This window comes from Homo sapiens, chromosome 2, assembly GCF_000001405.40.
Source record: "Homo sapiens chromosome 2, GRCh38.p14 Primary Assembly".
NCBI classification, from domain to species: domain Eukaryota; kingdom Metazoa; phylum Chordata; class Mammalia; order Primates; family Hominidae; genus Homo; species Homo sapiens.
The window spans coordinates 161,541,988-161,555,676 of record NC_000002.12 but is presented as its reverse complement, the minus strand read 5'-3'; positions in this window follow the sequence as shown (position 1 = coordinate 161,555,676).

The following is a 13,689-nucleotide window of genomic DNA, read 5'->3' as shown; positions in this document are numbered from 1 at the left end:
CAATCTTTTATAATTACAATACAAGACAGCAAAATAAATGATGGTAAAAGTTAACATAAAAAATAAGTACTTTAAATATTCAGAGCTGAGAGAAGTAAGTTTGTACACGGCAGGAATGGGCAAGTAAAACTTTATAAAAACAGTATGTTCTTGAAAAGTACACCTTAATAAGTAGATAGAATTTCCTGAGACCTAAAAGTGGAGAAAGGGCATTCCATGTAGATGAAATAGTGTAGCAAACATGTTGAAGTAGCATATTTTAAAGACAGTGAGCAAGGATTTCACATTAGAAAGTAGTAGGTACAAGGATTAAAAGAACTTTTGGAACCAGGCCAGAATAAAAAATTAATATTAGTTTTAACTCATTCAAAAGAAGAGATGATGGGAACCATTAAAACTTTTTAAAACAAGAATGATTTTTTTAAAGTGTGTTCAAAAGATTAATCTCATAGGGGTGAATAGGAAAGTTTGAAAATAGCAAATGACAATTTTTAAATATTTTTAAAGATATATTGTGGACATATTTCAAGATTATTAAAAATGTTTAAATGTTTACACCCAGTAAATTCTGTTGAAGAAATAATCCACAAAAATTAAAATAAAGCAATTAAAAATTCACAAAAAGAAAATAATAGGTACACAAAAATTATAGCAACAATTATAAAGGAAGAAAACACCTCAATGTCCAAAATTGGGAAAAGTATGACACATATTCCTAATAGAATTTTAAGTGGACTATGTAAATTACATGGAAAAATTAAAAAGTTATGATACATAAACAGAATATTACTTAACCACAATTTGGAGTGCAAAAATCATCCCGGGGCAATGTTTGTTTGTCTAGGCCATTAGTAATAAGGCAGTTGAGGAAAGAGTCTATCCCCACTGCAAGCTGTGGAAAGGTATTACTGCTGGGTAAAAGCTGGCCTTGGCAGGAAGAAACTGAACCGAGAATCTAAGGCAGGAGCTCCTACTTCTGTAACAATCTGGGTGCTTGGACAACACCTTGAACTGGTGGTAGTAAGTCTTCCAGAGTATCATCCTATCAGCACCAGTATTCTACTCATGGAAGAGGACTTGCAGTCAAGTTGAACAGGGACTACTAGGTTCTATAATTCCTTTCATTCCTTCCCTAAATCACTTTCACACAGTCCTACAAGTGAACACAGGTCAGGTTCTGGTGACAGTCAACATATAGGCATGAATCAAGATAAGTTTTGGGTTTTATGAAACAGTGCCTTTAATGGAACACAAAGGGCTAGGCAGCTCTAGATGGAGACAGGATACAAGGCATTGAAGGATTTCATATTTCTCCCATTGCTGCCTTCAGCTGTACTAGCTCCATTCTACCTTTCCCATCCCTGTCATTTCCTAACTGACATCTTGGAAGGATTGAAGACCTTTCTGGATCATTTTTTCAGGCATAAAATAGCCCAGTCCAGTTTGAAATTTCCAACTTAAAAATTCACTTCGTCCTTCCCCTGAAGTGGTGTCCAAGCCTTAGCCTGAAAGACTTAAGAGTAAGAAAGAAAGTAATCTGATCTTTCATTCTTCCTCCCCCGGCCCCATTTCCAGGCCCCTTTGTCCTGGCTTGTTGTGATAAGGAGGAAGAAGCTGAAAAGAGACAAGTGGCTCTTTCTTATTGGATCCCTGTTGTTATCCTTTCTTGGCCAAAGCTGGATATTGATGAACTCTGTGTGGCAGGCATTAAAATGCTGGTTCTTTCATTAGGTAAATGTGGTTTCATAAGGTGGAAAATCTGTCTCCAGTTTATCCTCTTCCAATGCTCCCTCAGTGTGTAACCTGGAGAACAATTCACTTTACATCCTCTTTCTGCCAGGATATACTTGCCTGGTGGCAAGCTGTCTTGGGTAGGCTTCTGTCAAGATGGCTAAGGCCCAGCTAGCTTCCCACATGACTCAAGAAACTCACGCATCCTTTCTAAGCCTAACATGAGAGTGCAGGCTGCTCCCCACTGCCCTTCACCCCATCATGCACTCTTTTTCCAATTGTCTATCCTGTTCAAATGGGCACTGGGCAGATCACCAAGTCTACAGCATAAGCAAACTTCAAACTAGGAGAACACAAAAATCATTATACGTAACTGTCCCCTCGCTTGGCTTTGGGGTGCTGAGTATCCCTCTTCTTCCCCTCAAGAAAAGAAAATAAAAACCACGGCCCTTTCCCTCTAGGCTAATGACTCATAGCTCCAATGCTTTTTTCACCCTAGTCTTCTGATCTGCTTCTGGGAGGGAGGAGAGGAGAGAGAATGATAAAGTTGGTGCTGATGGGATGATTAGGAACAGCAGAGCCTCTTTACTTCTTAATAAGCCCCAAGCAGGTGCAGAGTCTAGTCCTCAATTTATGCCTTAAAACATAAAAGGTTGACTGTACACTCAACCTTATCATTAGGGTCTTAGCAGGAAAAGTCCAACTCTATCCTGTTACAACAAAAATTCTCTAAGAAATGTCTGAACTAAAACAAATTTCAAGGAAGCAAAATACAACCTAAACTCAGAAAATGTTTTCTGAGGTTGAAAAACTACCCCTAAAGGATAGAAACAGAACATAGAATTGGAGCCTGAGTCCTCTTTTCTGAAAGTTGAATGTGACCCCTCATGTTATGCTCAATAAAGGAAGAATCATTTTTAACAAGCCCAAGTGCCAAATATTTCAGTTCTTAGGGCCCAGATCCAGGTTCACACATACAACCTCTTCCCATTATTAAAACTGATCCCAAAAATGTTGGAGTCAGTTTCAGAACCCACTGCCTCAAAGATTCAGAACTACCTCTGTCACCACTCACTCCCACTCCCACATCTGTCTCATTCTGTCCAGCAAGCCCATTCCCTGTCTAACTTGCCCTCCTCAGAGATTCCTTGCTCATTCCTGGAAGCTTTCTCTAACTTCAAATCACAAGGAATAACATTGGGATCTCTTTTTCTCATCTCCTTCTTGAAATATTGCCAACAGTTTTCTGCTACATAACAAAAATGACCCAAGTCCAATACAGTCTTCTTAAATACAACAGTCTTCCCTTGGTCACCTCCCACCCCAAAACTCAGAAATAACTATTAATAATTTTTAACATAGAACTTTTTGGTTTTGTTTTATCTTACTAACCATAATAAGATATTTTTCTAGTCAAAAAAATTATTTGTCAATCTCCCCAGTCTATAAGGAAGAAGCAGTAAGTCCCAAAGCCGTATCTGTGAATTTGCCCCAATTATAACAGTTTCATACATAGGGATAATTTTCCTTTTGAAAAAGTTGTCACCACAACCAGTTACACAAAATCACTTCATGATGTGCCCCATATTGCATATAGGAACCACAGAATTGAAGAAAATTCAAAATCTGCCATCTTCTCTGCTCCTTAGCCCTAATTCTGATTAAATGAAAGACTGGAAGCTGTACTTAAGAAATACTTAGAGCTCCTCAACTAGAGATTGCTTCAGAAGACCGAGTGTTGCTTAACAGTATGCATTTACATAAAACTGTGGTGATTGGGTCAGCTTTTGTTTTTCAGGGTTGAGTAGAATAGAATTTTTAAAATGTTGTGGTTTATAGAAAGATAAATCTTAGAAACATAGTATCAAATAAAGTGGGAAAAAGAAACAAAAACACATCTTTAGTAAGCAATGAAGTCCTTTTTAGGTAACATCCTGAGTCTAATTCAGCTTCCCTGAGAATATTACCACAGACTAAGAGCACACATCATTAGACACTAACTGTAACAGCACAGCCCCATTGAACATATGTGCTGTCTGCACGGGAGGTCTGAGGGCTAAAGCTAGAGCATGCAGCAAAAAATGTACGAAAAGCAGTATACTTCTGAAATACTTTACTGAATATTAACATCCATTAAAAACTTTCTTTGTACTGAACACATCTCATAACGTTTTTCCATCTCTCCCCTCCCTCACTCTGTATTATCTGTATTTTAAACAATTGAGATAGCTAAATAGTTCTCGAGTAACTCACAAAAATTACGCCTAAACACAATTCTTTAATACGATGTACTCTGAGTATTTATAAGTAGTAAGGCTTCCCACAAGAACCTGGAAATTAGAAAGATAAGAATGCCTCGTAAGTGTAAAACTTTAAATGCCTAATGGACCACAGTAGAGAGCAAAGTCACCTTTAAAGATGAATGAAAGAAAGGCCTGACAGACTTGGCTGCTATTTGATTAATTATATTACCATGCTTTATTAAATGTGTCAATCAAAAGGGGAATTGGCCAATCAAATGCAAATGGAAAAACAAGGCTTAGAAAGCAGTATTTTGGCAATGCTCATCCAAGCACTTGTACACAGGAGAATCTGTTTGGGCCAAAACCAAACCCACTGAAAAAAACATTCTTGGATTCAATTAATCTAATTCCCCTTGTTCTAATTAATGCTTAACAAAGAACATTATGACTTTAATTTCCATGTAGGTGTGTAAAGTCATGGACCAGTCACGTAGATTTGATTGTTCCAGTTCTAATGATAGCTATATTTCTTATTATAAGTTAATAATTTCATATTTTGATTAAGATTTGGCTTCCCAAGTAAAGACTACAAGTATCATGAGCTAATCAGGCTAACTACAGTTTTCTGTCACTATTCCAGTTAAAGTTCTCGGTAGAAATTAACAAATATACTTTATGACCTTGGTTAGTGTGAGTCCACCCATGATAAATGGATTCAATTTAATGGAAAAAAAAAATCTGCAGAGTTGAGGGATTGATACCAAGGTAATAAACACCAATTTGTAAAAATTTTGAATGACAAGTTGCCATCATTCCCACGTTACAGAGATCAACTATACTATCATCCATGTAGATGACTTACTAGAACATCTACAAGGTGTTCCATAACTTAGTGATTTTCAGATTTAAACCAAAGAGAAAGACGGACACTAAAAATTCAGACTAAGACACATTAAAATATATCTGAAACTTTGTTACCAACTATAAGGTTGTTTTTAAACAAAAAAGTTATTCCTAAAACATAACAAGTATAGCTCATAAATGCCATCTCATATATTTAGAGTTCCGAAGTATAGGTGAGACATTTCAAAGAGACATTTATGCCATTACTTCTCCAGCCCTGCCCATGGCAGATATCACAACACTCTTCCCTCTAAACCTAGAGACAGCCTTAGAATCATTCTTAATATAATTTTCTTAGCAGCAAGCAATTGAAGTTGGCATGAAATGAGACCTATTTGCCTTCTCTGGTATAGGCTTGTCTGGAATTGATATTTCATATTCTTTTCATATATCAAAAGTGTTATTTTGAGTCGATCATATTTGGCAAAATGTATTGTGATGAAATTTCAAGGTAAGAAATATTTTTATTTAAAAATATTAGTAGAGTAAAGATGATACGCTATTCACATTAGGCTTGAGTTTAAACATTAAAAAGATAAAATTAAGTTTTGATATTAAATTATCTGACTTTCTCAAGAGTAAGACTCATCTTCTCACTTTTTTCAACCTTGGTAAGATTTGTTCAATAGTTTTGCATCCTATTCAATCTTCTACATCCTAAAGATGTTCACATCTTTGGTATAGTATGGCCACTTCAGAGATTAAAGGCAAATAGCCAGCTAGCATACTGCTTGGATAAAAACAGAAGATAGTGATAAAAACTTAGCCAAAAGCCATAAAAGAGAATAATTCTGCTTTATTAATTGTATCTTAATTGCCCATAGAAAATAAGCGATACTTTTAAAAAATTATTATTAAAGATGGGGTCTCGCTATGTTGACCAGGCAGGTCTCAAACTCCTGGCCTCAAGTGATACTCTCATCTCAGCCTCCCAAAGTACTGGGATTATAGGCATGAGCCACCATGCCTGGCAGAAACTGAGTAATACTTTAACAGTAATCTTTAACCATGAGAAAAGTTTTCACACTTAAAAACACTATTCTTTTGTCCACTTCTACTCAGAAAATAACAATAGGAATTGAGTTTAAGCTGCCTGATAAAGGACTAAAATTAAATACCATAAAGGAATTTTCCTCATTTTCAAAATTGCAAATCAGAAGGAAAAATAGGGCTCTTAGCAAGTATGCCAAAGGAAAGCATACTTTAATTAAGATGAAGGCTAAGAAGATGGGGAAGAAAGATCTGGTTTAAGCAAAGAGGCTGTTCAGGCCTGGGGGGGCGCATAGAAGGAGCCCTGGGAAAGCTGGGAAAAAAAAGGTGAATATATTCTAATTAAAGTTGGAAATAAAACTCTGCTGCTATATAAATTATATTGAAAATCTTAGCAACTCAATTAAAAATAAAGAAGTAAAAAATTAGAAAGGAAGAAGCAAACTATGTAGATTGACATGATGATATTCCTGGAAACCACAATAAAATCAACAGTAAAACTACAAATAATAAGATAATTCAGTAAGGTAATAGGATAGGAAATTAACCCACAAATCAATAGCTTTCATGTATAACTCATAAACAATCAGAAGATAATAGAAGACCCCTAAACTGAAAAGAAACACTCAAACTTTTATATAAAATGCTATAAAACTCATTAAACACATAAAAACAGATAAGAATAACAAAAATGTATGCAATGTTCTTAAGATTATCAAATCTCCCAAAGTTTAGTTTACAATCTCATCAAGGACAAAAAATACCAAGTCCTTGGATCTCAATACAGTACATTGATTCTAAAGCTTATACGTAAAAGTAAATAAGCAAGACTAGCCATAAAACCACAGAAAAAAGAATAGTAATGAAATTGAGGGTTGCTAGACTTATCAGATTTTAAACTGCTACAAAGTCTCTATACAATAATCTACTGACACATAAATAGACCAATGGAACAGATTATGAAGTCTAGAAATAAAACCACATAGATATCAAAATTTAGTATCTCAAAAAAATGGCATCCCAAATGATCGGGAAAAAGAACTTTCAAGAAATGATGCTGGAACAATTGGATAACCATTTGAAAGAAGATAAAATTGGATCAATATATCATACCACACACAGAACAAACTCGAAAAGTATCATAGGTCTAAATATAAAAAAGGAAACTATGTAACTACTCAAAGAAAGAATGGCTGAATACCTTTCAACCTGGGAGTGGGAAAGCCTTTCTAACTCTGACTTAAAATCCAGAAGGCATAAAATAAATATGATGTTTGATTTTATAAATACAAAATTAGTTTGCATGACAAAAATATATACATCCATATTATATGTGTAGCCACAGATATATACAAAGAGATCTGAAAACCTAAGAAGAAAATGACCAAAAATCTAACAGAATAATAGGAAAATAACAGTTTACCAAAAAAAAGAAACACTAATGACCCTTAAACAAATTAAAATATACTCTACCTATCTCATAAGAGAAATGCAAATTAAACTATACTGAGATTCATTTTTTTAACCAATCATATTGGCAAAAATCCAAAAGTTTGATAACACACTCCATTGTCAAGGCTGTAGGGAAACAGGCACTCTCAAACATTTGTGGCTGAAGTAAAAATGGTGTGATTCCTACTGAGAAGTTGGTAATATTAAAAAAAAAAGTACAGATATATTTACCCTTGACCCAGCAGTCCTACTTCTAACAATCTTCCCTGAAGAACCACTTCAAGAAATACAAGACACCATATGCACAAGGTTATTCACCATAACATTGTCATACCAAACAATTGAAAATAATTCAAATATATCATTTAAAAGGGATAGGTTAGCTCAACTATGATACTTCCACAAAATGTATAGACAACACCCAGCCACAGAAAAGAATGAGGAAGACCTCTATATACTAACATGGGATGGTCTCCAGGATATATTATATGAAAAAAGCAAGACAGAAAACATGCTACCCTTTTTGTGATAAAGGAGATGCAAGAATGTGTGTGTGTGCATGTATGTTTGCCCAGCTTGCAAAAAAAAAAAAACGCCTGGAAGGAAAAGCCAGAAACTCAGCCGTGCCTGGTGGCTCATGCCTGTAATCCTAGCACTTTGGGAGGTTGAGGCAGGTGGATCACTTGAGGTCAGGAGTTCAAGACCAGCCTGGCCAATATAGTGAAACCCCGTCTCTACTAAAAATACAAAAATTCGCCAGGTGTGGTGGCACATGCCTGTAATCCCAGCTACTTGGGAGGCTGAGGCAGAAGAATCGCTTGAACCCAGGAGGCCGAGGTTGCAGAGAGCTGACAACACGCCACAGCACTCCAGCCTGGGCAACAGAGCGAGGCTCTGTCTCAAAAGAAAAAGAAAAAAGAAGAAGAAGAAGAAAGAAACTAATACAAATTGTAAATAAAGTTTAAAGATGGATGGGTGGGGTAAGACTAATGAAACACTAAAGACATATTTTGCTTGCTTAGCAATTTTGCCTAAAGGCAGTGCCCTCACCCAATTAGAAATTGGCAGCCACTATGAAATCTAAACTATCTCTGGTAGAGATCCTTAGGAACAGTTTTGGCTCATATTTTGTGATAATATTTTATCCACATCTAGTTATGAACTAGCACCATATGAAAATTTGGTGGCTGCTTCCCTGAACTGTGCCTTATATGAAATCGACAAATAGGATTTTAAAAGTTTGTATATGGCACCTAGGTCATTTCTGAAGAAGATTTTTGTAATGCCGCTGAGAACGTGTACTATAGAAAAAGAAACAAAATTCATCACATTATTTTGGAATTATTTCCATACAATTGGTAAAACTACACATTTCTAAAATATCAGCTAAGTCTAACGATGTGGTTTGGCTCTGTATCGCCGCCCAAATCTCTTGAAGAATTGTAGTCCCCAGTGTTGAAGGTGGGGCCTGGTGGGAGGCGATTGGACCATGGGGCCAGATTTCCCCCCCTTGGTATTGTGACGCAATAGTGAGTGAGTTCTCACAAGATCTGGTTGGTTTAAAGTGTGTGGCACCACCCCGCTCTCTTTCAGTCCTACTCCTGCCATGTAAGACGCCTGCTCCTGCTTTGCCTTCTGTCATGAGTAAAACTTTTCTGAGGCCTCCCCAGAAGCCGCCATGCTTCCTGTACAGCCTGAGGAACCGTGAGTCAATTAAACCTCTTTTCTTTATAAATTACCTAGTCTCAGGTGTTTCTTTATAAATGACCCAGTCTCAGGTGTTTCGTTATAGTCATGTGAAAACAGACTAGTAAATCATTTAAAAATAGTAATAAAACACTAAAATATATAGTTACTCTCACTTTACTTCCAGAATAAATTTCATCATAATAAATTCTAAGGTACTATATCAAATGAAATAAAATCTATACCAAGGCTTACTTCAACACCACTGAGATATTTAAATTAGATGTATCCTCTCAGAGATTATGCTATTTTAGCTGCCACGGAGAAAAGGAATTAGGAAAGGTACATTAGGCTATCCAAATAAAGAAACAGAATTAACACCATTTTTTCTCCTATGGAAAGATCTATTAAAAATAGCACGATCTTGGCGGGGTGCGGTGACTCACTCCTGTAATCCCAGCACTTTGGGAGGCCCAGGCGGGCATATCACTTGAGGTCAGGAAATCAAGACCAGCCTGGCCAACATTGTGAAACCCCTGTATCTACTAAATATGGAAATTAGCCAGGCATGGTGGCGGGCCCTGTAATTCCAGTTACTAGGGAGGCTGAGGCAGGAGAATCGCTTGAACCCGGGGGCAGAGATTGCAGTGAGCTGAGATCACCTTACTGCACTCCAGCCTGTGTGACAGAGCAAGACTCCATCTCCAGAAAAAAAAAAAAAAAACACAAAAACACCATCTCAACTGTTTTGCTATTAAACTATTTTCAACATCAAACAAAATAATCTAAAGGTAAGAATATTTTTTTCATCCTCACTGGTGAATAAATATTCATACAGAAGAATGCAATCCAGCAGTTGCCAGAAATCTTTCATAAATTCTATTTTAAATTTTAAAATAATTAATACATACCCAAAATATACTAATCCACCAGTTATTTTATGAATGAGAACATTACCAGTAGCATTAAAACTGTGTTACCTCTTTGATCCCATCCCTGCCTCCCTCAGTTACCACTATCCTGAATAGTACCATTCCCTTGCTTACAAAAAAAAAAAAGTTTTTTCCACATATATGTGGATCACTAAGCCATGTAATCTTTAGTTTTCCCTTTTTTAAAAGCATTATAGAAATATACTGTTTTGATTTCTTTACTCAACATTATTTCTAAGATCCATCTATATTATTATGTGAAGCTATGTTATATTCATTCTTGCTGTGTGACAATGTAGTTTCTTAATCCATTCTCTGGTCAAATGACAACTGACTTATTTTCAGTTTTTTTGCTATCACAATGTTACTACAAGTATTTTTGTTCATGTATGCTGATGTGCTTAAGAGTTTATCTAAAACCTACACCTACATGAAATAGCTAGGTATAGACCATGTGTACAATTTGAATTTAAAAGTTTTTTCCACAAGGAATGTGCCACTTTACACTCCCACTAGCTATATATAAAAGTTCCTGGCCGGGCGCGGTGGCTCACGCCTGAATCCCAGCACTTTGGGAGGCCGAGACGGGCGGATCACAAGGTCAGGAAATTGAGACCATCCTGGCTAACACGGTGAAACCCTGTCTCTACTAAAAATATTTAAAAATTAGCCGGGCGTGGTGGCGGGCGCCTGTAGTCCCAGCTACTCGGGAGGCTGAGGCAGGAGAATGGCGTGAACCCGGGAGGCGGAGCTTGCAGTGAGCCGAGATTGCGCCACTGCACTCCAGCCTGGGCGACAGAGCGAGACCACGTCTCAAAAAAAAAAAAAAAGTTCCTGTTCCTCCATATACATATCAAGATTTTTGATTGCTAGACTTAATTTTACCAAACTAATGAGTGTAAAATAATATCTCATTATAATAAATCATCTATTACTAGTGAGGTTTAGAATCTTTTTCATTGATTTACTTGCCAATCATAATTCCACTAAAATGCTCACTGTCTATTTTTTCAAATTGCTTATTTATTCTTATGGAATTATAAAAATTCTTTACATATTCTGGATAACAACACTGTACCAATTCTATGTCTTGTGAATATCTTCTCCCAGTATACGATTTGTTTTTTTTTTCATTTTCTTTCCATGCATGTTCTTGATTTTAATGAAATCAAATTTATTGATCTTTTACTTTTTATATGGTTAAAAAATTTTAGTTATGTTTAAGAAATTATCTCCTACATCAAAATCATGAAGAGATTGTGCTCTATTTTATAAGTCTTAAAGTTATGCCTTTCACATTTATGTCTTTTGTGCACCTGTAATTGATTTTTATGTATGGTGTAAAGTAGAAATTCAATTTCATTTTTTTTATATGGTGAATCAATTTATTTCAGGACCGTTAATTAAATAGACCACTTTTCTGTAATGATCTGCAGTGCCATGTTAGTACCATATCAAGCCTCAAACTGTTTCTGGATTCTCTAATCTAGTCCATCAGTCAATTTGTCTATCTCTGTGCCACATTATCTTAATGCAATTAGACATTTCTGTACAGCTAAGACAACATTTTCACAAATATAACAGAAACTCCTTAGTATCATCTAATAGCCAGTTCATTAAAATCCCCCCCTCCTCTGCAATTGCTGTCAAAATATCTTACAGCTGGTGTTCCAAAACTGCATCCAAAATAGAACCACACATTGCATTTGGTTGTTCAGCCATTAAGTTTCTTTTAAACCCTTCACTTTTTCATGACACCAACTGATTGGAGCTATAGGGGCATTTGTCCCATAAAATCTCACCTTTCCAGATTTATCTGATTGCTTCCTTGTGGTTTATTTAGTTCAGTAACTATCCCTTGAATTTCCTGAAAAAATCAACTAGAAGTTAGATCTAAAGATTTGCCTGGTTTCAAATTAAAATTTTTTTGGCTAAAATACATCATAAGTGAGGTTACATGGTTCATACTGCATCATGGCTGAAGGTACATAATATTGTTTCCTACCATTAATCACTGTGTTAGTGGTGACAGCACAACCCCTCCATTATACAGTTTCTTTTTTTTCAGTGAGGAATCTGCATGTTATTACTTTAGCACCATTCAAATGTCCAGTTTACTTTCAACCATTCACCTATTTGTTTTAACACCAATGAACACTCAATTTCTACTATAATAATTTTGTTAGGTATTGTGAAATGGTAATTTTCTGGTTCTAGCTTTTTTCCCTACACCTATGCCACTGTTTTGTAAAAATGTAGCTTTCTCCTTTAACCGGGGCATCATTTTGTAACATACAGTTTCCCTTTTCATTTGGTTACCTTGAAATATAGTTCCTATTGGAAAGACAAATAAATGCTTAATTATTTCCCTCAAGTTAATAATTTTCAAATTAATTATTTGGCTTAATAATAACCTCCCATAGAAACAAATTGGTTTTGTGGCATTATCATTTTATCATTAAAGATGTATGGATTTTTTGCAGATTCAATATGCTTCAATAATTATTAAATAATAATTTTTACAAGAGTGTTCATAGCAGCTTTATTTGTAGTAGTCAAGAAATGAAAACAGTCTAAATGTCCGTTAAGAGGTGAATAAACAAATTGTGGTATATTCACACAGTGGAATATTACTCAAAAAGAACTAACTATTGTTGCACGCAACAAACATGGATTAATCTGAAAATAACTATGCAGAATGAAATAAGCCAGACAAAACAGAATACTTATAATTTGATTCCCTTTCTTATAAGTCCTATAAAGTGCAAGTTATCTACAGTAATATGAAGCCATTTAGCAGTTTCCAAGGGATGAGAATAGAGCAGGGAGGAAAGACAATGAACGATTGCCCAGGGACTGAATAATAATCTTTTAGATGCTCAAATCATCACAACTTTGGCCAATAGAGTCCTTCCAACCTGGCTCCTGTGTCCTTTTTTAAAAAAATTAATTAATAGACTTTATTTTTAGTGCAGTTTTAGTTTTATAGAAAAAGTGAACAGAAAGTACAGGGAGCTCCTATACACTACCTCCCCGACTCCTTCTCCTGCCCCACAGCCCCCTAGTACAAACATCTTTTTGCTTCTTTATTTAGGAACAGGGTCTTACTCTGTCACCTAGCCTAGAGTGCAGTGGTGCAATCATAGCTCAGTGCAGCCTCAAACTCCTAGGTTCAAAGGATCCTACCATATACTCTTCCAGAGTAACTACAACTACATGTGCGCCACAAGTCCCGGCTAATTTTTTTATTTTTTTGTAGAGATGATCTTGCCATATTGCCCAGGTTGGTCTTGAACTCCTGGCCTCAAGCAATCCTCCCACCTTAGCCTCCTAAAGTGCTGAGATTACAGGCATGAGCCACTGCACCCAGCCTATTAACATATTGCATTAGTGTAGTGTATTTATTGTAATTGATGAAGAAACATTGATACATTAGTATTAACTGGAGTCCATGGTTTATACTTGGGTTCATTCTGTGTCTTGGGGCCTAATATGACTTGTTCTGCAGAATGTTCTGTATACACTTCAGAAGAATGTGTATTCTTTTGGCATATATCTTTTAGGTCCATTTAAGTCCAGTGTTTCCTTATTAATCTTCTGTCTGGATAATCTATCATTGAAAGTGAGGTATTAAAGTCCCGTAATATTATTGTACTTCAATCCGTCTCTTCAGATCTCTTAATATTTACTTTCCATATTTCAGTGCTCCAAATTTGGGTGCATATATACTTACAATTTTTATATCCTTTTAA